This window comes from Homo sapiens, chromosome 3 (assembly GCF_000001405.40).
Source record: "Homo sapiens chromosome 3, GRCh38.p14 Primary Assembly".
Lineage (NCBI taxonomy): Eukaryota > Metazoa > Chordata > Mammalia > Primates > Hominidae > Homo > Homo sapiens.
Window position 1 is genome coordinate 157118810 of NC_000003.12, and position 24160 is coordinate 157142969.

The 24160-nt window shown below is 45.1% G+C and overlaps 1 long non-coding RNA gene across 1 annotated transcript in view, besides 3 other annotated features; it reads right to left on the reverse strand.

Moving 5' to 3' along the window:
• The window catches only part of LINC00880 (long intergenic non-protein coding RNA 880), a 41336-nt gene extending 37143 nt beyond the window's left edge, over positions 1–4193 (reverse strand). Inside the window, exon 1 of the long non-coding RNA NR_034007.1 lies at positions 4067–4193. This is a non-coding gene — a long non-coding RNA (long intergenic non-protein coding RNA 880). The remainder of the gene's footprint in view (positions 1–4066) is intronic.
• Positions 9360–10559: an enhancer, noted in NCBI's record as "MED14-independent group 3 enhancer chr3:156845958-156847157 (GRCh37/hg19 assembly coordinates)". NCBI's record gives its function as "activates an origin of replication core promoter dependent on BRD2, BRD4, P300/CBP and CDK7 cofactors, and independent of MED14, by STARR-seq in HCT116 cells {active_cell/tissue: HCT116}" and the evidence as "EXISTENCE:reporter gene assay evidence [ECO:0000049][PMID:35650434]".
• Positions 9609–9818: an enhancer, noted in NCBI's record as "active region_20738". NCBI's record gives its function as "activates an Ori minimal core promoter by ATAC-STARR-seq in GM12878 lymphoblastoid cells {active_cell/tissue: GM12878}" and the evidence as "EXISTENCE:reporter gene assay evidence [ECO:0000049][PMID:35858748]".
• Positions 16891–17185: a silencer, noted in NCBI's record as "tiled region #13439; K562 Repressive DNase matched - State 12:CtcfO". NCBI's record gives its function as "represses a minimal TATA promoter and a strong SV40 promoter by Sharpr-MPRA in K562 cells {active_cell/tissue: K562}" and the evidence as "EXISTENCE:reporter gene assay evidence [ECO:0000049][PMID:27701403]".

Sequence of the window (24160 nt, forward strand, 5' to 3'; positions counted from 1 at the left end):
TCATGACAACAAAGGTCTTTTGAAAAATGTTCATAACCTTTGACCCAGAATTCTTTTAAGGAGGTAAACCAAAAGCAAGGAAAAAAAAGAACAAAAAAAGCTTTGGGAAGAAAGATGTTCACTGCAGTATTATTTATTATAGTGGAAAACTGGAGAAAACTCTTATGTGTAACAGTAGAAAAACAATTTAATAAAATATGAGGTAGCTTACTAAATGGAAAAATGCTTATTGCAAATGGTTTTTACATAGAGAGTTAACATGGAAAAATATTAATATTAATTCATGTTAAAATGCTGAATGAATGCAGGTACAAAATTACATAGTGATCTATGAGTTACATTACATAGTGTCATATCAACTATGTACGTCTTTTTATACACAGAAAAAAGAAGAAAAAATTATATTATTCCAAGGTTAAAATACCTAAAATTTAGAATATTTAGAATTGGGTTAAAGTACCTGAAATTGTTTCCACTATCAACCCAATTCTATATGTTTGAAGAACAGCATGTGAAGGTGGTTATGGAGCAGGCCCTGTCCAGAGAAATTTTATATCCGGCCCTGGGACCTCTAGGCCTGTATACACAGATAGAGGACTTATAAACAGCAGAGTTGAAACATGAGTGAATCTGAAAGAGCCAGTCCCTCAAGATGAATCCTGAGTGGCTACATAAATTTAATATAGAGCCAAACGGCCATTTACTGACTAGAGATTACACACTACTCTGAGTTCCTGGAAAACCCACAGTCGGCTTAACACTGGGGCTTTGACAGCTGACTGTTACCGCTCATGTGGCCTGAAGCAACGGAATAGGCTGTGCTCCCCATCAACCAATCAGGACTCAGCTGCATTGATCAATCAGAACCAAGCCAGTTTGAATTGTTCATTTGCATAAATGGACCTGATTGGGAACCCAGGTAGGAATTTTCTCTGTAAACGCCAAACTGTCTCTTTGTTCTCTTCATTTTACACTTAGGGCTATGTTTCCTCGTCTGTAAACTGTTCATTGTAATAAAGTCTGTTTCCTCTAAATTCCTTTTCAGAGAACTTTTGTTCACACATAAAACCACAGGTCACGTGATTTTTTTGTTTGTTTTTGGAATGGTATGCACAGATAAATTTAAAATTACAGTCAAGGGAGGGGTAGCTAAGACAGCCCAGTGACGATGATCAATTCTACGTCAGGAAGAAATCAAGAAGAAAATGGGGTTCACAAATGAGTTAGTAACAACCGAGATTTCCACTTTGAAAGTATCTTCACACCGTTATTTCACGGGATCCTCAAAACCCCCTGAGGTGGTAGGAAGGTGATTGTTGGTGTCAGTCCCATTTTGCAGAAGAGAAAAATGAGTGTCAGGCAGAGTGGCTCGCTCGGTGCCCTGGCGGCGGCAGCGCGCCAAGGCCCAAGGCCCCTCTGGTCTCTGGGCTTAGACCTACGGCAGGAGGCGGGGGAAGCCTGCAGCGCAGCTCAGCAGCAGGTGGCAAGCCCTCTACCCGCTGGGAACGTTCAGGGTTATCAGCCCGTGGGAAGCAAGGTAGGACCCGCAGCTTGCAAGAATCTGCAAGGTGGGAACGGCGTTCGGGATGTGTTTGGCCCCCCAAGGCCAAGGCACGAAGGGGTCCCAGGCGGGTCGCCAGCGGCGCGGCTTACAATGGCCGGTTCGACCCAGAACGGTCGCCGCCGCAAGGCGGGTGAACTTTCCCGCCCTATGCGCCTGTTTCCGCGGGCCAGGCCGTCCGCCCGCGCCGCGTGGCCTGCCTAGCTGCACCTTAGCCCCCATGCGCCGGGTAGGCCCGGGCCCCGCCGCCGCGCTCTGAGCCCGCGTGGGTCTCACAACCATGGCCCTCTTATCTGCTCCTGTGCTTCGGTGTTTGGTTTTCCCTGTTTGACAGACTGAACCTTGTACTTTCGCAAATAACAAGTGTTTGCTCAGCAATCCAAGCAGCACCGGCAAGATTGCAGGTGCTGCGGCGGGCATGAGAGGTCATGCATTCGGGATGCCAGGAGGTCCTGGAGTCAGGAGCCCTGCAGCCCCTTCAGGGATGCCAGTGGCTTGGGCTGAACCCCAGACTCTGCCCTCGAACTTGAAGGGAACTTGAAGCTTCTTTAGGCCAAGTTTTATTGAAGGGTGTCCTGGGACACAATTCAGTGACTAGTAAATTTTGGCCATCGGAAAGCTCTCTTTACCCTAAAGAAAGACGAATACACTTAATGACAATTATGATAATAATAAATTTAGAAAGGCAATGGTAATTCTTTTTTTCCTAACTTGTCTCACTCTACTTCTTTTAAATTCAAAACAGGTCCCCTTTTTGCTGTTGTTAAAAAGGATTTTTTAACTTCTGAAATTAAAGCAGAGTATTTCACTTTTGTTAAAAAATAGAACTTAATCCACAGTTGAGATTTTTGTTTTTCTAGACTTGAAAATCTGCTTGTAATTTGCACAAATGCCTTTCACTTCAAAACCTTTTATCCAAATAGAAGCACAAAGTTGTACTTGCCTTTCCTTCCACAGAAGGCGTTTCCAGTATCTTGCATACACAACAACTTGCTCAGGTTAAACATAGTTTCATTAAAGAGCTATTAAATGGTGCTCTTAAAGTTTATCTTTGCATTTTAAAAGGGGTATAGATGTTGCCAAAACAGCAAGGATAGCATGTAGGGTACTTTGCAGTTCTCTAAACTTTTTCCTCCCTGGAGTCACTGAAGTCCCTTCCTGGCTTAAGTCACTTTGGTACTCAATACAGTGTTTGTTTACATCATTTAGCATTATGCCCCTTAGCTTTACCCAGTGTCATTTTAAGAAATGATCGGGTGAAAAACAGCTTTAAATTATCTGTAAAATTGCCATAGATATTCATTATGTTGCTTCACATAAAAAATTCCTTGCAACTAATTTCCACTTGGACTTTAGTACTAGAATGAAGTTTGCCTATGTTTTCTTTTTTCAGTTAATGAAAGCTGTGGAATGCATGGGACTATTCTTTTTGCCTAGGAATCTCAGAACTTAATTTTGAGGATCCTCCTTAGCCTACATTTTCTGACATAGTTCTTACCCTACATCTCCCTTTCCCCCAACCACCATCAGATATTTCTTTCTCTAAGTTATTCATCCCATCTTTGTTTTAAGGTACCTATATATTCTTTTATGATTCCCTTTAAAAAATCGCAGAAGTAGGAAGATATAAAAATTAGTTATTCTAGACTTCCTCAAAATGTTCTTTCAATCTGCTTTTAAATGGCATATACAATCATTCTCGGCTTTGGCATTTGGTTCAGGTGACACCTGCAAGTTACCTTACCAAAGGCCTACCCAGAATTGTGTACAATCCCAGCAAACAAGGCTCTGCCCCTCTCAAGAGTACTCTCAAACAGCAATGCATATCTCATCTAATGCATTACTATTTTGTGAGTCACTAACAAGCTTCAGTACTTTGTTTTATTAGTAACAACTGACTCACAGCACACCTTGTAGCTGTGGAAGCCCCATCTGATACCCAGACCCCTGATGCAATGCAGCTGCTCTGAGATATGCCGGGAAACCACAGCTCAGGAATCAGTTCTTATTTTCCTTCAAGTAGCAGCACAGATTTCCTTACTTTCAACTGTCATGAGCTGAACTCATTTTTCAACGAAGCCTAACATCTGTGCTTCCTTCCATCCAGCAGGAAAACTTTATTTCCCCAGAACTTATTTCTTCAGTCAAAGGTGTCTGCCAGTTCTCAAGAGAGCTGTACTTACAAAGATGCCCAAGAAGCAACTGGGAAAAACTCTTTGGGGTTCTGAGGACCCTTAGAGGAAAAGCTGATGGAAAAGAGGAAGGGAGTGAATGTCTCCTGAACCCCGGCTCTGTGCTAGGCACTCCTTGGCAAATTTCTTTTAGCCTTACCAGCAGGCCTCTGATTTAGACACATTTATATGCATTTTCCCCATGAGAAAACAGGCTCAGAAGGGCTAAAGAGCTTGATCAAATTGCATCACTGTTGTCTTAGTCCATTTTGTCCTGCTATAACTGAATTCCAAAAACTAGGTAATTTATAAACAACAGAAATGTATTTCTCACAGTTCAGAAGGCTGGAAAGTTCAAGGTCATGGTGCTGGTAGGTTTGGTGTCCGGTAAAGGTTGTCTCCATTCATAGATGATGCCCTGGACACTGCATCCTCTGTAGGAGAGAAACACTGTTCTTCACATAGCAGAAGCATGAGGGAAGAGCTCTAATGACATGAACACCTCCCGTTAGGCCCCACCTCCCAACACTGTTGCCTTGGGAATTAAGTTCCAACATGAGTTTTGGAGGGGACAAAAATGTTTAAACCATAGCAACTTATTAAGTGGTGAATCCTGGATAATAGCCCAGTTGGCTGGATGATGGGGCCCATTCAGTGTTCACTATAGAAACTGCCCAGAGAGAGTGAGGCTGTTAATATGCTCCCTCAGACTGGTTACACAGAGTACCCTATAGTTCAGGCCACGTGCAGGGACTCTGAGGCTGCAGGGCCTGGGTTCAAATTCCAGCTCTGTTACTTGTGCATGACCTTGGACAAGTTACTTAATTTCATGGGATGCCTGTTTCATCACCTTTAAGATGGGGATAGTTGTTTGGAGCAAATTATTTAATCCTGGCACAATATAAGTATTCAACAACTGTTAGCTATCGTTATCCATTCATATCCCACTGTTATTTTATTGCAGGGTAAAAAAAATGATGCTTTCTTGCCCAAATGGTGGTGTTTTTATGTTGCCTATCATTTGGAAATCATTCACTTGGAATGGTAGACCTGGTAGTGGGGTCATCTTTGGAATCACCTAGACAGTTTTTTAAAATACTGATGCTTGTGTCCTACTCCTAGAGATTCTGATTCAGTTGGTCTCCTAGGCATGTAGGAGAAGGAAATTTTTAAATGCTATGAAATGCTCTTAGTGGTTCCCAAAGTCTATCCCTGGACCAGCAGGCTTAGTATCACCTAGGAGCTTGTTTGCTGGAAACACAAATTCCCAGGCCCCACCCCAGACCTAGTGAATCAGTTACTTTGGGAATACAGCCCAACAAAATAAGCCCTCTGCATCATTTGATGTCCATGAAAGTCTGAAAACCATTGCTCTAAGGGAAGGCAGTGCCCTGCAAGACTGCTTCATCCTAAACACAAGGCCCAAAGACTGATGCCAACCTACAGGGCTTATCTGTTCATTTACATGAGGCAATGTAGCTCTAGTATACTAGTCTCCCCTAGGGCCATAATATGCTGTGACTTTATCAGTGCATCCTCTCCTAGGCCCAAGGAAAGCCGGGTCCTCATCAGAAGTTTCTTTATTAAATGTTAAAAGATATCAGCTGTCCTTTGCCTTGGTTATGCTCCTTTTTCTCTGTTCCCACTATTCTGCCTATTTTCCCATAATCAACATAATCTTTCTCTGGTATTAATATACTTAAGGAGGTTTTAATTGATTTTTCCAGGCTATAGAGACACTCTGCACCTTCTAGGTGACTTTGTGTAACTCTGTTCTGATCCCTAATGTGAGGCTGTGGCACTCTCAGAGGGAGGGGTATTTCTTTTCCCCTCTTTCTTATAGAGGAACTCTCCATAGTGTCACATGCTTCAGCACCTGAGTCTTGCTCCTTGCTTCTGCTTCCTTATCCATCATTATTTTCTTTTGAAAATAAAGAAATTTTGCATTAAACATTTGCCTTCCATGTTTATCCAAATTATGTGGAACTTTTGATCAGAAGATGCTTCCCTAAGCTTACACAATCTATCTTTCATCTGATTAAAGAGAAACACTATTGTAGCTCCTAGTGGAACAAATGCCATCTCTATGTCTATGCATTTTAACTTCTCACAGAAAAAACACTGATGTTTTCCTCATTGGGTTGCATGTAACTACCCTCTAGGAAATCTAAACTAAAATTTTACAAATTCTTTTTATAATGTACTTATAAATAACTCCGCATCAGCTTTCAGCACTGAACAAGCAACAGAATCATCAAAACAAGGGCAAAAGAACAACAGCAGAGCATGAATGTGGGAGATGAAGCAGAAGAGAGATGATGTAAGTGAGTTAGCAAGGAGGGAAGGTAGGTTCTGAAATCTAGGCTAAGGAGAAGCTATGCAGGCAAGTGTTACACTCAGTCTTGGTGATCAAGGCAAAAAGGGAAACACAACAAATTCCACTGCCCTATAGCAGGCTGTTAAGGGGGGCTTTTCCTATTGCTGCAGAGTTTCAGTTGATTCCTCAAAACCAAAAACAAGGGGTGTTATGTGCCCACTACACATTTTATGCAGGGTTGCTAGATCATCAACACTGACCTTGCTAAGCAGTGACCCTGAGCCCATCACCTACCTCAGGGGTGTGCAGCAGAGGGGAGGAGGTGAATGAGGAGGACTAGAGAGGGGGAATTTATTTCAAGAGAGTTGTCAGTATGCTGAGAACATGAATCATCCACTTCAAGTGAAGAGAGCCACTCAGAGAAGGTAGGATGTCTCCCAGGAGGAGAGACTGACAGCTTGCTTCCTGGCTGGATTTTTCAGAGCCCTAGAAATGGTTCAGCCTTAAGCCATCACAGGACTGAGACAGAATGTGAGGAGAGCAAGGGCTGAAAAACAACCTATTGTGTACTATGTTCATTGCCTGGGTGACAGATTCATTCCTACTTCAAACCTCAGGAGTGTATCATACAATATACCTTTGTAACAAGGCCGGGCGCGGTGCAATCCCAGCACTTTGGGAGGCTGAGGCAGGGGGATCATGAGCTCAGGAATTAGAGACCAGCCTGACCAACATGGTGAAACCCCGTCTCTACTAAAAATACAAAAATTAGCCGGGCGTGGTGGCACGTGACTATAATCCCAGCTACTCAGGAGGCTGAGGCAGGAGTAATCACTTGAACCCGGGAGGCGGAGGTTGCAGTGAGCGGAGATTGCGCCACTGTACTCCAGTCTGGGTGACAGAGTGAGACTCTGTCTCAAAAAAAGAAAAAAAAATCTGCACATGCACCCCTGATTCTAAAATAAAAGTTGGAAAAAAAAAAGAATGTGGGCAGAAGGTTTTTAGGAGGACTAAGAACTCTCTGTCTTAAACGACCTGTGTCCCAAGAGTTTAGGAAAACAAAGACTGGAGGCTGAGTTTTATGATGCCTGTGATGTAATCTGATATGCTTCGACATAGGCAGGGTGATACTGTGTGTGTTTGCTAAGCTGTACTCTTACCCACACTCCAGAGGCAGCTACCATGAGGATATATAAGATTATCTTTACCTTTGAGCAACACCAGAGGCTTTGCTAATCAGCATAATGAATACTTAAAATGGATTTCATGTTGTGAAATTAGCAGTATTCAAAATATTTGAAAGACTCTCCTCACACTTGCATGAATTGGGTATAGATTTAGGGGAGACTGCGGCATAAGCCCTTAAAGTCACCTAAAGCTTGATGCTTAAGTGATCCTATAACCAGCAACTGGTTCAAAGGAATCTGGCTGTCTGATGCTCACCCTCTAGTTTATTTGAATCTTGCCTCTACAATATCATCATATTCGCCCTCAATTAACCTTTCATGCAAAGGAAAGGATCTTTCATGATAACCCAATAGCAGAATTATGGAGGAATAACCAACCCTCATCTTCCCTCTACATAGTAGCGGCTACTATTATCTACCACAAAAAAATCCAATGGTCACAGCTGGCCAAAATGGCTTAGGACAGTTCATCACACTGAAGCTAACCTGAAAAAAATCTAAGTTGAGTGACAGCAGGAGCTGCCTGGGATTGAAGAGTGAAGGGGGGGCTGATTAAGTGAGCTGAGCACAGCAGAGAAAGGAGCTTAGCTTTGGGGTGTCATCTCAAAGGAGACCCCACCCAAGGAGATAGCTGCAGGAGTGAGATGGCACCAACAGAAAACTGGGTTCTTGCAGGGGTAGTATTGATGTAGGAACTGAGGGGAGAGTTGTTAGGGGAACCGCCAGTGATTAGTTTGCCTTGCCAGAGAACTTTGTGGTTGGATGTCTCTGAAAGGCTCGCTGAGTGAAGAGCCACACACTGAGTCAATGAAGTCTTAGCTACCCCTTACCTCTCCTCCCTCCCATTTACCCTCTCCCACCCTCGAAGGAGCCAGAGGCAGCAGAGTGAGTGGCAGAGCAGTGGAAGAATAAGGAGGGAAACTAGTTAGGAAACTGACCATCTTGCTCCCCAGCACCTGCTCTTCATTTCTGTAGGCCTTGGGGCCTCATCAGGCCCAAATTAGGGCAGAAAAAAAGCTTTATATTGGATGAGACATTGAAGCTTTGATGGGAGACTGGACTGAACTTCCCAGACCAAAAATTAGATGTTTAGTAAAACCTGAAAGCGACCAGGAAAGCTTTGGAATATGCCTGGCATTTCATCCAGGAAAGTTGAAGAATAATTCAACAGAGTGAGCTTAAAAAGATGGCAATGAAAGAGAATTAAGTTGGTTACTTTTTGTATCCAACCGGGTCCAACTTGATCGATCTTCTACAGGTTTCATTATTGAATGAAAGGGACTTAGTGTCTTTCCTGTAGTTTTTCAAATTATTTATTCTTATATCTCATTAAGTAAAAATCAGGGGGAGGGGGATGACTTAGTTTTCAAGCATGTTCTTTAAAACCACAAACTAGAGAGCAGTGGGGTGGGGAGGTGCAGGGACATGTATGGGTTCCCATTGGTGCTATAACAAATCACATAACAAAGCTTGGCAGGTCAGGATGGGTTTCACCGGGCTAACATCAAGGTGTAGGCCGGGCTGCATTCCTTCTGGAGGCTCTAGGGCAGAATCTGTTTCCTTACTTTCCAGCTTCCAAAGGCCACCTGCATTTCTCAGCTCATGGCCCCTTCCCCGCCAGCAGCAGGGTAGCATCTTCAAATTCCTCTCTGACCCTGGCTCCCCTGCCTCCTCCTTTCACGTAGAAGGACCCTTGTGATGACATTGGACTCCCCCAGTAATCCAGATAATCCAGAATAATCTTTTCATCTCAAGATACTTAATCACATTTGCAAAGTCCTTTTTGCTATATAGAGTAACACTGTATATTCACAAGTTTCAGAGATTGGGGAATGGACGTCTTTGGGGGACCAGTCCTCTGCCTATTACAGAAGAGGCCCAGGTGCATGAGCTGGGCCTGTGATTCACCTCTCAGAGAACACCCTCCCCCTTGCCTGTGGGTCAGCCAGGAATAATGGTGACGGAGAGGAAAGAGGCTCTGTGTAATCTTGGGGAAAGTACACAATCTGCCAGTACTTCAGTTTCTTCATCTGTGAAATTATAGCCTTAGCTGTCCCTAAAGTCCCTTCCAAATCTAAGCCCTTTGCTCCTTTTATCTTTTGGCAAAATAAGCATTTGAAGAAATCTGGCTATCTCAAGAACCCCAGCTGATCTTCTAATGCACACTGCCAGGCCTCCACCACCCCCGGGCCAAGAGGGAGTCTCTGACAGCTGAATTGTGGAAACCTCTGGGTGAGGCAAGCAGCCCTTTGCTTTCTCCAAGGAACAAAGAGGCACGAGGAAGGCACTGGTGGGAGGCTTGGGGTGAGAGGCCTCTCCACCAGGGCAATGAGTTATCCTGTCCCTTTCTACTGACTCACCACTGAAGGCCTTGGGCAATTGTGCCAGCCAGAATCACAGAAGTGGCTGCGAACTCAGAGATAACAGAGTGGTCCAGGGAAGCCCCAGTGGACTGAGTCATGGCCAGGCTCTCACAGCCCTCTTCTCGAGTCAGCATCGACTCCCTGTGATCTCCCTGGAGCCTCAGACTCTCAGAAGAGCAGGTCTCAGAACACTGGAGATGAAAGGAACCTGAGACACCATGTCATAAGCCCTGCCCACCAACCTCCCTATCATGTGACTTCTCGGGCTGGTTGTGTTTTTTTTTTCCCCAGCTACTCTGATAAATCACATTGTTTGGATGGCTGAGCTCTGTCTCTGGTCTGACTTTAAAATTAAGGTTCACTTTGCCCCTCAACGCCATGGGTCCAGCTCTCAGGACTCCTCCAGGCTACCTTTACCTTCCATTTTTGAGGTAGTGTCATCTACCAGCAAGAGCTCTGAGCCATAAATCAGGAAACCAGGGCTTCCTGCTTCTGTCCTCTGACCAGACAGAAATGGAGCATTCACCAAGTCACATCATCTCTTTGGGACTCATCAGGGTTTGACTGTGTTTTCCCCAGAGTCCCTTCTAGTACCAACAGGAGAGGATCAGATCATCCTAAAAGCCCTCTTCAATTCTGAAGTCAGTCATCCTCTATCAGAGTTCCTGAACACAGCCAGGCTGGTTCTGCCGGGGATAGCCGTGGCTTGTGACTGCCATGCCTCTCCTCCTCCCAGGAAGGTACAGAATCCACAGCCTCAGGAATGCCAGGCATTCTGCCAAGGGCGCCCTTCCTTTTCTCGGTCTGGTTTCTCAGTCTCTCTCTTCCCAATCTAGACTAGACTGTCACCTCCACTCACCAATCCCGTGGAGGGGTCAGGGGTGGGACGGAGGAGAGCCAGAAACGATGAACTGCGACTCTACTCCTCATCTGTGTGGCAGGCCTGTCATTCCTCCTCCAGTCGGGCCTGCCTAACTAGACCAGCACTGGGGTCACTCTGCGTGTGAGTGGGGAGGGATTCCTGCCTATCCAGTGACCCTGCTTAGTGGGTGGATGCCACCTCTGTCCCTGGAGCACCCGAAGCACCCAGGGGCCCCCACCTACCTGTTTCACTTCTCCAGGGCTTCCGTGTAAGGCCACCTCCCCCACCTCAGGCCTGGCCCCTCTTTGCTAAGGACTGCTTATCCCCAGGATGTTTTTGGCACCTTCTGGGCCACAAAGGTGCTTCCTGTAAAAGAACAAACCGCCCCAGGTTGCCTTTTGACACATCTATTTCAGGGTCAGTTGGCATCTTATGTTTCGCCTAAAAAACTGAACAATCTTTTTTCTCTCATCCAGTAAGAAAAGTCTTTTTTTTATTTTCACATGGGTTTATGCACCCCCTGCCCCCCACCTTTTCAGAAGGAGGCTCAATGCAAGTATCTGTGTTATAAACTAGCTTCCTACACTGGCCCTGCCCCTGCGCGGACTTAGCCTTCCTAAGAAGGGGCTCCTTTTCTCCTGGCATGTGCTCGGCTGCTGGAGAGAAAGGCCTATTGTTCTTCATGTGCCCAGTACACTCAGCCAGGCAACACGCTGGGTGTTCCTCCCAGGAGGTAGAAAACCGCCTCCCCAAGATCGGATCATTTTATACCTTGTGTTTTGTTTGGTTTTGTTTCTGGCCTTTCCTTCTTTGCTGTACCTCCTTCCCGAGCGCTCAGAGCCCATAGAGCACTTATTTCTTTCCGTTCCCTTTGCACAGTGAATTGCCTTTTGTATGCCTTTGATGTGATTGCTCAGCTTCCAAGGGAGGGGAACGAGTGTCTCGTCTCTCCCACCTAGAGGCTCGTGCTGCCTGTGGTCAGGAAGAGAGCGAACAAAGGCGTGCTTGGCCCCGAGGGAGGCTGGGGTAGGGCCCACGCGTGGAATGTAGGGTCTCTTCTGCCCAGAGGTGGAAAGTCGAGCAGTGCTTTGGGGTCTGCGGGGCTCTCCAGCGATGATTTGGGGTGCTCATGGCAGGGCTGAGCTGGGCAACAATATGAGGAGAGGTTTTGCTTCTTGGTCCCTGTCCCATCTGCTTAGAGTATCCGGGTTGTCTGGGGCTCCGAGGGAGGAGCACTACAGCAGGAGCCAGGAATTCGCCTGCCTCTGCCACCGTGTGACCCCGCATGACACTGACCCTCCCAGGGGGAGCCTCCCTTTCCTGGCCCTTGAGTGGGGCAATAACTCCTGCCCCACCCGCTGGCTTTCTGGGTCTCATGTGGTGAGGAGCAAACACGACACTCTCTGAGGAAACGCGGTGAGAAGCAAGAGCCCTTTGTGAGTCAGAGGTGGTGGCTGTTGCTGTCTTTCCCACTGTTTACCAGGCGCCCCCCACCCAATTTCCCGTGAGCATCTAGTGACCCCATGCTACCCCCTTGTGGCCAAAATGCGACTCATCATTCATTGCTGTGAAATTACCTTGCTATTAAAATCGTAAGGAAAAATAAATAATGAAAGTAATTAATAATAATGAATATATAGTAATTAACCCAGACTGGAATACCTTTACTTTTCATCAATAAATCCATAAAATATAATTTTTAATACTTTTTGATGGAGGAAATGGCGCATGAAGAAAAAAGTGCTTAATGTGGGCCCAGACCCAAGGTGAGCGTGGGACTGAGGGCGCCCTTCCCGGCTACTACCCAGCTGCTGGCGGCGCCAGGGAGGCCTGCCCGAGGCCAGACGGTGGCCACTTGCCGAGGCTCCCCTAAAAGGTCCTATATGTCCCCAAGATGATGGGGCCAGGATGAGGAACAGGTGAGAAAGCACTTGGCCGCTCTTCCTCAGCTCTTTAAAATCTTTTCAGGTCCCTCAAGATTACAAAACACTTTAATAGCTATCTTTTTCTTTACTGAGATAGAACCGGTTGTCTGGAGGCAAATTAGAGCTCCTGCATGTTGAAAAATAAGTGACCAATAACTGCGTGTTTCCTCGTTACAATCTCCTTCCTCAGACACAATCTCACCTTCCACTCACCACAGCCCTGAAGCAGAACTATCCTCGTTTTCAGACGAGGAACTTGGGGTCTGAGAGATCATATGCTGGTCAGATGGAGCAACAGCCTGAACCCAGGGATTCTGATATCAAACCCCTCACTTTTTTCTTTTCTTTTTCTGTTGGGGGGGGTGGTTGGGGGGACAGGGTCTCTCACTCTGTCACCCAGGCTGGAGAGCAGTGGTGTGATCACAGCTCACTGCAGCCTCACACATGTGGGCTCAAGCAATCCTACCACCTCAGCCTCCAGAGTAGCTGGGACCACAGGCATGCACCACCACACCCAGCTAATTTTTGTATTTTTAGTAGAGACAGGGTTTCACCATGTTGCCCAGGTTGGGGTCGAACTCCTGAGCTCAATGAATCTGCCTGCTTTGCCCTCCCAAAGTGCTGGGTTTACAGGTGTAAGCCACCATGCCTGGCTCCCCTTACTTCTTTTACTATGTGAAGGGCTTGGAGTTGAATACTGGGTGAACCCCAGCCCTGCAGAATGAGAACAGTCTATATGGAGAGGAGGAAATGCTGCAAAAAATGTACCAAGACTTTTCCTTCCATACCTGTGGAATAAATCTAGTCAACAGTCATCCTCTAGTCACGATGAATAATCTCCTGGAAACTCATGCCTTTGACCTGGATAAGTGCTTTCCTTTTCCCTTCTCCTCTGGCAGAGATTCCTTCAGAATATTCGCCTCTCCAGATGTCTTCTTTACTTTCCCGATAGCCTATGCCCAGGTTTCTGAGGAGTTTCCTTTCAGACGTGGCTTCCTGGTGTTGTAACTGGGATGCAGTCTTGCCCTCTGTGTCCCTCCAGCCGCATGTCCTCCCTCTTTTCCTGAGAAGGCAGGGTCATGGACATCTAGAGACCCACTGCAGAAGTGAGAATTTTGTCGACTTAGTGCCAAGTATTGTCCTGCTTTGATGAAACCAATGAGCACAACACTGAAGAGCTTGTGAGGGTCTGACAGTGGAGGAAGGCGCAGGTGGACAGGCACAGAAGAGCACCCCAGAAGACACCCCTAGAGCACCCCAGAAGACAGTTGGACACCCCCTCTAAAATGCTGCTGGTTGCAGTACCAGGCATCCACAGAAGGGTTTCCAACACTCACAGTGCAGTGAAGTGACACACAGGCTCACTTTCTTACCAATGAGGACCTGAGCCAGAGTGCAGAAAGCCTTCTTGCAGATCTTCCATGTCTGGGGTACACTAAGTGAGATCATATTTGTGTTCTTACACTGTCTAGGAAAGCTCATAGTTCATAAACATCTCTTGTGTACCAGTCTCTGGCATTTTTTAATACATCATCTCATAAACATCAGGAAAACCCTCTGAGGTAAGGATTATTTGCCCTGTTTTGCATATTATTAAATTGAGGTTCAGAGAGGTTAATAGACTTGCCCAAGATAACAAAGCTATTTAGGAGAGTCAGGGCATGATGTGAGCTCCAGAAAATGTTACACCCTTGAAACTATGGTTTGCCTGACCAAGGACACCTCTGGCCACTTTTCTGCTTTGGGGTGGGAGTCCCTTGCATCACATTAGATGAGTGCATATGATCTTTCCATTGATTGCATTTATACATTGAGTGATCAGGTAACTTGGTTACACATGGATATGCCTGCACCCAGAATTGGCCATTGTGCCAGTTTCCTGCCCCCTTCTTCCACCACACACAAAGGCCAAGTCATGATTGTGTCAGTCCCTGTGGCCTCATTCGTCTGTCTGCCACAGATGTCTGAGCAGCTGTGGGGCAACTGACCAAGAACAGAGAGAACGTGGGCTTTGGAGCCAGGCAGGCTTGGATTTAAATTCTAACTGCCATATTTTCAGGAAAAACTACCCAGATTCTAAGATGGGGATGGGGACAAGGAAAGGTGGAGAGGAAGTTAGAGTCAGAATCATGGGACCTCATCCTAGTTCTGAGAAGAGGAGGGGGCAGGTGCCAGGGCCACTGCCCTATGCCACCAGCCCTCTCCAGAACAATTGGGGCCCACTGCTGGTCACTGGCAACCCTCTGCTCAGAGGACACAATTTCAGGGGTCCAAAGAAGACTCCAGTGGTCTCCCAAATTCTCTCTTATACACTGATTTAAAACTCTTTTAAGGCCCTGGCCATAAGCTAAATGTAAACATCCCTGGAAAGTTTACAATGTGAGAGAAGCAGCATGGAGTTTGGGGGAGCACTTGCTGTGGAGCACAGTGGAATCCAATCTTTATACATGAGCAATAAGCCTCTGTCTTCTCATCTCTGACATATAATAGCTAATACTACAATAAGAATGGTTAACATTTCCCTCTAGCTATTCTAAATGCTTTTTATACATAAGTTAACTTCTTTAATGCTCACAATAGCCCAATTCCCATTTTGCTGGTGCAGTGGGCACATAGGTCCAATCCTCTGCCCAGGGTCACAACAGCTGGACTTTGAAGTGACGCAGTCAGGCAGCAGTGTCCCTGAGTGTCACCTCCACACCATTCTGGTACTTAGGAGAATAATGAGGCCTTCCTCTTAGGTATGAAGGCAGGATTAAGTGAGACATGAATCTAAAGCTTCTGGCACAAAGCAAGGACTCAATTAATGCTCCTTTCTTTCCCTGGCTTTTTTCATTTGTGAGGAGACAGCTCCAGCCCACCTCTCTCAGCAAAGGTCTGCCTTGCATATATAAGTGCTCAGTCAATGTCTGAAGAATGGACGAAAGGGCAAACTTTGATAAGGTGAGTGGCAGGAGGTGAGGGGAGCATGAGAATAAGAGGTGTTGATAGGAGGCTGTCGGAGGGCTGTGGCTAAGTGCGGTGGTTTTCCTGGTGCCATTATGCTGCCTGGGGCCTTTCAGTCCATGATATGGGCTTTGGTGCCTTCCTGCCCCTTATAACATGGTGTAAACCTCAGAGCTCACCCAAAGTCCTGGAGTCCCAGGTGAAGACCAGCGCCAAACTCAGCAGAGTGGTTCATGGCGTGTGTGTGTGTGTGTGTGTGTGTATTTGTGTGTCATGAGAAACAGCACAGAGGTGACAGAAGCATTACTCTGACAGCCCCCTCTAGTGCAGAGAAAGGTTTGAGGCTACTCCTTGGTGGTGGCAGTGGTGTGGGGGTGGAGGGTGGGATGTAGGGGCCTAGTGTGGAGAAATAGGGCTGTTCTGTTCCAGGCCTAAGATAGCCCAGAGCCACAACCAAGTAGTGGCTGTCCCACCCCTACCCTGGCCTGTGTCAACCACTGGCAAATGGAAAGTGTCTCTTAGAATCCAGAAAGAGGTCTCTGTAGGGCCAGATATAGCCCAGGCCTCTGATGGAAGGTCTCCAAGCCATACTGGCCCAATTCAGCCATAATCTGGCTTCACCAACACAGGCTGTACAGGCAATGATTACTGAGGTGCATTCCTTTCTGTTTATCAAGATTCCATGGGCCAAGGCCAGGTGTACCCAGGCCAAAACAAGCAGACCTTGACCAGGCAACAAAGCAGTGCATTGGTTTCACCATGTTCTCTCTGAATGTCCCTCAGCTCAACTGATGCAGCATGATAGGGATGGTCTAGGGTGACAAACACGGACTGCCACACCCTGCTTATGCTTTAACTATTTCTGTTTATATGCACAGCCTTCATATCCAATGCAAAGTGAAACAAGGTGGTTTTTGCCCACAGAGTGGAGTTGCTGAATGTCAGTTGCTTGTATGTCTGGGGAGTGGTTATTTAAAAATCCTACCCACTGCTTCAGTTTGCTCTGCTCTTTATAAGTACAGTCACAACCCAAGACTCCAGGAGAGATTAATCCGGTGTCCTTGTTCTGTTTCATTCCATGTGAACAGCTGAACTGGGCCTTTCTTGTTCGAGATTTGCAAAGGATAGTCAAGATCCTTCTTCAATCACTAGCATTTCAAAAGGGTTCTTGAAATGACAAAATGGTTCCTTTGCACTGTCGACATTTTCATCATCAATGAATATTTATGAAGTGCCCACATGGAGGTTGCTTGCCAGTTCCGAACCCAGATAAGAGGGAAGGTTCTTTATTCTGTTGCAGAGGGGCGTTTAGTCAGTAAACTGCATTTCTTTTAACTTCTGAAAGCCTTCCTTTTTTCTGGGGAAAAAAATGTCATTTTGCTTTTGCAAATGAGAGAGTAAAGCTTTTGGCTATTGCGTAGTATTTCTTCAATTATTATTTGGGTTTCCAGACAGCACTTGTTTTCTGAAACCCTCAAATTGCCTCAAAGATATAATATCTTTGTGCTAAAAATACTTGTTAGTCAAACATTGGTTGAACTCATGACTTGTGGCACTCATGAATTCAAAAGATGGTTTCATTTTTTCCAAATCATTCTCTCCTTTTCATCCACTCCATCCCAGAACAAATCATTCCGATAATGTATTGCTAGAATGACTCACAAGGGGAATCCATCACTGACCGGGTTTGTCCAAGGTCTTGCACTGACCTCTCATGGTGAGGAGAGCAGCAAGCTGTCCCCCACACTTGCAGGCTGTTATCTTGATGGGAATGAGAGCTGTTGGGCTGCTCTTCAGGAGCAGGAGGTAAGAACAGCCTGTGGGGTCCTGAATGGCCCCAGCGTCCTTGGGTACTAAATGCAATGCTATGTACTCCCCAGTGTAAAAAGCTTCCTGGTTGCATACTTGGCTTTTGCCTTCTGTTTGAGACACAGTGAGCCAGATTACTTCAACAAAGTCATTCCCTGGGAATTAGATGCTCAGAAAAGTACATTAACTTTTCATGTCTTGGCAAAGCTTTTAGCCACAGCAGGAGCTCCCTGAGTGAGGGGCTGGGTTTCTTTTACCTCAGTATTCTTGGAATCTGGCCCACTGCCTGACACATAGTAAATACTCCATAAATACTTGTTAACTGACTTCAGTTAATAATTGTCATCGACAGTCATTGAGAGCACCTACCGTTTTGGGTCCCTGATTAAGACTAAGGATACAATGAAGTATAACAAACAGTCCTGGCTCTGATTGGAGTCTAGTTGGCGAATCAGGCCAAACACGATAAATGACACTTGCCAGCATAGAGTGATGTGTTTTAATTGCTCAAGGAATAACACAGGCCATAAGGGGCACTAATGTTTAGGAAAAACAAGAGATCCACCTAGGACAAGATACCAGGGTCAGCCTTTCTGCTTGCTAGGAATTGGGCTATGCCTTTAAGGAAGAGATAATAGCAAGATGTATCAAGTACCTCCTACTCTGTGCTAATGTCTCTTTACATACATTACTGAATCTCACAACAATCACACAAGGGAAATGTTTATCATTGTCAACCCACAGATGAAGAAACTCAGGCTCAGAGAGGTTAAGCAATTCTGTCCAAGGCCACATGGCCACTGAGTAGGAGGACTAGACTTCTAATGCAGGCCAGTTGAACTCCAGAACCCATGCCTCTTTCACCACCTCGGCCAAGGAGGAAAGACCTCAAACTTTATCAGCTACCTTGGGGCTTAATTTGAAGCAGCTTCCAAAGCAAGCTGACACTGCTTCTAGGAAGCAATAGCAAAGCAAGGAAAAGCTGACACCCTCAGGTTCTCTGAGCACCACACTGAATGGGGTGGCAGGTGGAGCCACAGGGTTACTGGAGTTGATCTCTGGACCTGGACAGCTTGCAACCACAAGCAACGGGCTGGGTGCAGGTGTGGGTATGTGCATGACTCTGCTGGACAATTTCCCAGTAGCACACACGTGGCAAGCAGCGTCTACTGCTGAGCTCTAAAAGACTTTTGATGAGTTCAAACCTCATTATGTGGATGCTTTGTAATGAGACCAGTCAGCCCGGGCTTGGTAGAGTGGTTAAGTATACAGACTCTGCAACAAACTAAATCCTGGCTCAATCACTTACTAGCTGGGTGAAATCACCAACTCATGGGTTCCTCTCCCACCACACGGTTTTAGAAAGAGGTCAAATGAGTTAATATATGTGAAGCAGAATGGCATCTGGCACATAGTGCTTATATAAATAAGGGTTGCTATCTATTCTTCTGCCAGCAGAATCTAGCAAAGGTATGTACCTTTAGAGTTATTGCCAAAGGTTCAAGTCTGGATTAAAGGCCTAAATGAGGCTTAAATGGATGTAGCTAAAGACATTAGTGTTCCTTTGTAAACAGACAAGCCTTTATTGTGTTCAGAATAAGGCTTGCCAGTCAGCTGAAGTAAAACTTAGAGCAAGATCTTGTATCACAGACAGCCAAAGAGTGACCTCTAGTGGCGTAGGTTCTTATTACTGACTATGCAAACTGAAAGGCGTTCAAGGAACCACAGATTGTAGGACTATGGAAACCGATCGTGCATGGGTGTCTTTGTCCGTTTGTGTAACTATAAAGGAATACATGAAGCTGGGTAATTTTTATTTTATTTTATTTTTGAGACGGAGTCTTGCTCTGTCACCCAAGCTGGAGTGCAGTGGCGCGATCTCAGCTCACTGCAAGCTCCGCCTCCTGGGTTCACACCATTCTCCTGCCTCAGCCTCTCGACTAGCTGGGACTACAGGCGCCTGCCACCACGCCCAGCTAATTTTTTTGTATTTTTAGTAGAGACGGGGTTTCCCTGTGTTAGCCAGGATGGTCTCCATCTCCTAACTTCGTGAATGGCCCGCCTTGGCCTCCCAGAGTGCTGTGATTACAGGCGTGAGCCACCACACCCGGCCCCAAAGCTAGGTAATTTATAAAGAAAAAGAGGTTTATTTGGTTCACGGTTCTTCAGGCTATACAAGAAGCATGGTACCCATCATCTGCTTCTGATGAGGGCCTCAGGAATCTTCCACTCATGGCAGAAGGCAAAGGGGAATCAGTGTGTACAGAGATCACATGGCAAGAGCAAAAGCAAGAAGACAGGAGGAGGTGCCAGTCTCTTTTTAACAAGTAGCTCTCACAGGAACTAATAGAGCGAGAACTCACTTACTACCTTGAGCATGGCACCAAGCCATGAGGGATCCACCCCATGGCCCAAACACCTTCCACCAGGCCCTGCCACCAACATGTTGGGTATCAAATGTTAACATGAGACTTGGCAGGGCCAAACAAACCATATCCAAACCACAGCAATGGGGAAGATCGTCCTGGACCAAAAGAAAAGTTGTTCTGGAAACTGCAGCCATGAGAAGCCCTATACATTGGCAAGGTAGTTATCCTGATCTTTGAAAGTTATTTCATCCCCTCTGACGCCAGTGCTGATATTCTCAAGAACTCATGTTCCCAAGAGCTTCTGGTTATACAGGTCTAGAGAAAGCACAAATGGTGTGAACCTTCTGGAAAGGTACACATGTGGGAAAAAGTCTTTAAAATATTCATCTTAAAGGTCACAGGAGGCCGAGTGTGGTGGCTCATGCCTGTAATCCCAGCACTTTGGGAGTCCAGGGCGGGCAAATCACGAGATCAAGATATTGAGACCATCCTGGCCAACATGGTGAAACCCCGTCTCTACTAAAAATACAAAAATTAGCTGGGCGTGGTGGTGCGCACCTGTAGTCCCAGCTACTCGGGAGGCCGAGGCAGGAGAATCACTTGAACCCAGGAGGTGGAGGTTGCAGTGAGCCAAGATCGCGCCACTGCACTCCAGCCTGGTGACAGAGCAAGACTCCATCTAAATAAATAAATAAATAATAAAGGACACAGGAACTATCTTAAAGGGGTTTCCATTGGCCACATCGGAATTTGAGTAACGAAATAATGATAGTAATGGATTATAACTTCATAGAATGAGTCCATACTGAAACATATAAACAAATGAATAAATGAAGGAGAAAAGAAAGCTCTTTCTTACAGTGGCATTCCAACTAATAAATGTCGAGCGAATGCTGAAATTTAAAAATCATTTTCAATAGTTATTTCAGGTAAAAATCATCAATGGATGCTAGAATTAGTAGGCAGAAGTTAATTAAGAAGCACTATTGATATTATCTAGGCTGAGTGCAGTGGCTCCCGCCTATAATCCCAGCACTCTGGGAGGCCAAGGTGGGTGGATCACCTGAGTTCAGGAGTTTGAGGCCAGCCTGGCCAACATGGCGAAATCCCATCTCCACTAAAAATACAAAAAAAAAAAAAAAAAAAAAGCTGGGTGTGGTGGCAGGCGTGTGTAATCCCAGCTACTTGGGAGGCTGAGGCAGGAGAATCACTTGAACCCAGGAGGTAGAGGTTGCAGTGAGCCCAGATCATGCCACTGCACTCCAGCCTGGGAGATGGAGCAAGACTCTGTCTCAAAAAAATAAATAAAAAACAAAAGAAACAATATTTATATGATCTAAAGTATCTCCCCCAAAAGCTACTTGTTAATTACAAAGTGTAAAATAGTAACTTTTTAATAGAGAACACTGGCAGACAGCACCTTAACCAATGATCATAGTTAACACCATTGGTTACTGGGGCAAATTAACACTGTGCCTCCTAATGAGGCACTGAGGACACAACCTGGCTTCTGTTGTATTTCTCCTGCCAAAAACACAGAACCCAAATCTAATCACAAAAAAAAAAAAATAGGGCAAACTCAAATTAAAAAATATTCGACAGAACCATCAGTTTACAACAGGGGTGTCCAATCTTCTGGCTTCCCTGGGCCACATTGGAAGGATTGTCTTGGGCCACACATAAAATACACTAATACTAACAATAGCTGATGAGCAAAAAAAAGAAAAGAAAAGAAAAATCGCAAAAAAGTATCATGTTTTAAGAAAGTTTGCGAATTTGTGTTGGGCCACATTCAAAGCCATCCTGGGCTGCATGCGACCCATGGGCCGTGGATTGGGCAAGTTTGGTTTTCACTCTTTAAAAATGTCAAGGTTATGAAAGCAAAGACAGACTGAGGAACAATTACAATGAAAAGAGACTAAAAAGATTACGACTAAAGACAATGTATGATTCTAGGTTGGATTCTGGACCAGAAAATAGGGCACTAGTAGGAAAATTGGCAATATTTGATCAATAGATCAATATTTGCAATATTGGCAATGTCTGGTCGATAGATTACAGTATTGGTCAATATGTTAAATTCTCTGACTTTGGTAATTATATTGTGGATATGTAAGATAACGTCCTTGTTTTTAAGTAATATATACTGAAGTACTTACAGGTAAAGAAACAATGACTGCAACTTACTCTCGAGCAGAGCAGAAAAGACACCACAAAAAGTGAAAAAGCAAGTGTGGTGAAATGTTAACATTTGGTGAATCTGGGTGAAGGATATATAAAATTTCTTCACACAATTTTTGCAACTTTTTTGTAAATCTGAAATTATTTCAAAATGAAAATTTCTTTAAAAGTCCACTTCAGGTTCTTTATTATTTTTCTTATGTCACTGAAAAGGGTTGACTAGTGTCTCCCCAAAATTGATGTCCACCTAGAACCTCAGAATGTAATCTTATTTGGAAATAGGGTCTTTGCAGATGTACTTTGTTAAGATGAGGACATACTGGGTTAGGGCAGGCCCTGGTATCCTTAGAAGACATACACATACAGAGAAAAAGGCCATGTGAAGATGGAGGCAGAGACAAGTGATGCAGCTACAGGCCAAAGAAAACCAAGGATTGCCGGGAACCACCAGAAACTACAAAGAAACAAGGGTGGACTTAGAGAAAGCATGGCCCTGCTGTCATCTGGATTTCAGACTTCTAGATTCCAGAAATGTGAAGGAGTAATTATTTGTTGTTTTAAGCTACCAAGTTTGTGGTAATTTGTGACAGCAGCCCTAGGAAACCCTAGGAATTACAGTCACCCACTTTTAAAACAATGGCGCTCTGGTCTACAAGACGCCATAGTCTGGCATCCTCAAGTGTCTGAAGATGCTAATAATGATAACGTTTATTGGACATTTACACACCTAACACTGTGTTAAGTGTATTATATACATTATTTCCTTTAACCTTCATATCTGAATACACTAGGCTTAATTACTAACTCATTACAGAAGGGAACATGGAAGCTTAGAGTGGTTAAGTAAGATGTGTAAGATTGCACAGCTAATAGAGGATGTCAGCATTGAACACCATCTCTTGGGCCTCTTCCTCTTTGTCTTTCTTTTTTTCTTTTACCCTGAAACAGGGTCTTGCTGCTGTTGCCCAGGTTGGAATGCAGTGGAACAATCATAGCATACTACAGTCTTGAACTCCCGGGCTCAAGCGATCCTCCTGTATCAGCCTCCCAAGTAGTTGGGTCTACAGGTGCACCACTATGCCAGGCTTCCTCTTTGTCCTTTAAAACCTTCTCCCATCCAAAGTGCAGCCCACATTCCCTGTCCTCTAAAAATTTTCCAGGGCCTTCTAGGCCACAGTGGTCCATCTTTCTTCTTTAAACTTGGCACTCATTGTACTGTTGCTTGGCTCTAAAATATACTGAGGATTATTCTGGATGTCATTTGGCTTTTTAAAACATTGTCTTTGCCTCCAACTGAATATTAATTACATGCAGGTATGTGCCACGTATCTAAGCATTGAGACTTCACCTACCCTTATTTCTCTAGGTAGAAACCTATCATTATAGTCCTCATCAGATTATATGCAAGTAGATGCTTGACATTTGCAATTTGACTGTTTTCAAATAAGTTGGAAGTTTATCTGAGACTCTTGATTTCAATTGCGTGTGTAAAAGAAGTCAGCTAGGGGCTGAGAGCCCGGCTAATCAATTTAAATGTGGCTTTATTTGTTCATTGTTGGTCTATGTTGTATTAATTTTTGTTAAATGACTAAAATTTGGTTTGAAAGGTCCATGAAAATAACACATCTGGGGCAGAAAATCATTTTGGGCAAGAAATTAAATTTTGTAATTTAGGGTGGAAAACTGAGCCTCACAGTGAGATTTATGTGCCGGGCCCTCTGTACAAAGATATGATGTGTCATGTGCTCTGTTAAGTGCTCTAGCAGTGTAAAAGTCACTGAAGTGAGAAATTCGTTTGAAAAGGTTTAGCTATATGGTGGTTCACTACTGATTTGGGGCACAGAAAACAATCTGATTTAACTGACCCAGGAGCCTAGTCAAACAATGCCACATTCACAGATTTGGTGATTCACATTGTCTTGGAATATTCCGTGAGATATCAGGTGTCAAGAGCCAAGTAAGTAACATCAATGAGCAAAAGGGCAGAATTCAAGAAAATAGCATCAGCACACTGATACCTGCCAACTGACACCTGCACCTGGCTTCAGTGTTACACAATTAACAGGGGGTGGAGGGAATCGTCACGCACTGCAGCATGCAGCCTCACCCGGATGGCTACTGGATGCTAGTTAACTGTGGCCTGGAGTATTGTGGATCTCATGTTTTTTTTGTTGTTGTTGTTGTTGTTGTTTTAAGTCTCGCTCTGTAGCCCAAGTTGAAGTGCAATGGCACGATCTTGGCTCTATGCAACCTCCGCCTCCTGGGTTCAAGTGATTCTCCTGACTCAGCCTCCCGAGTAGCTGGGATTACAGGCATGTGCCACCACGCCCGGCTTTTTTTTTTTTTTTCAACAGTCTTGCTCTGTCACCCAGACTGGAGTGCAGTGGCACGATCTCGGCTTACTGCAACCTCCACCTCCTGGGTTCAAGCAATTCTCCTGCCTCAGCCTCCTGAGTAGCTGGGATTATA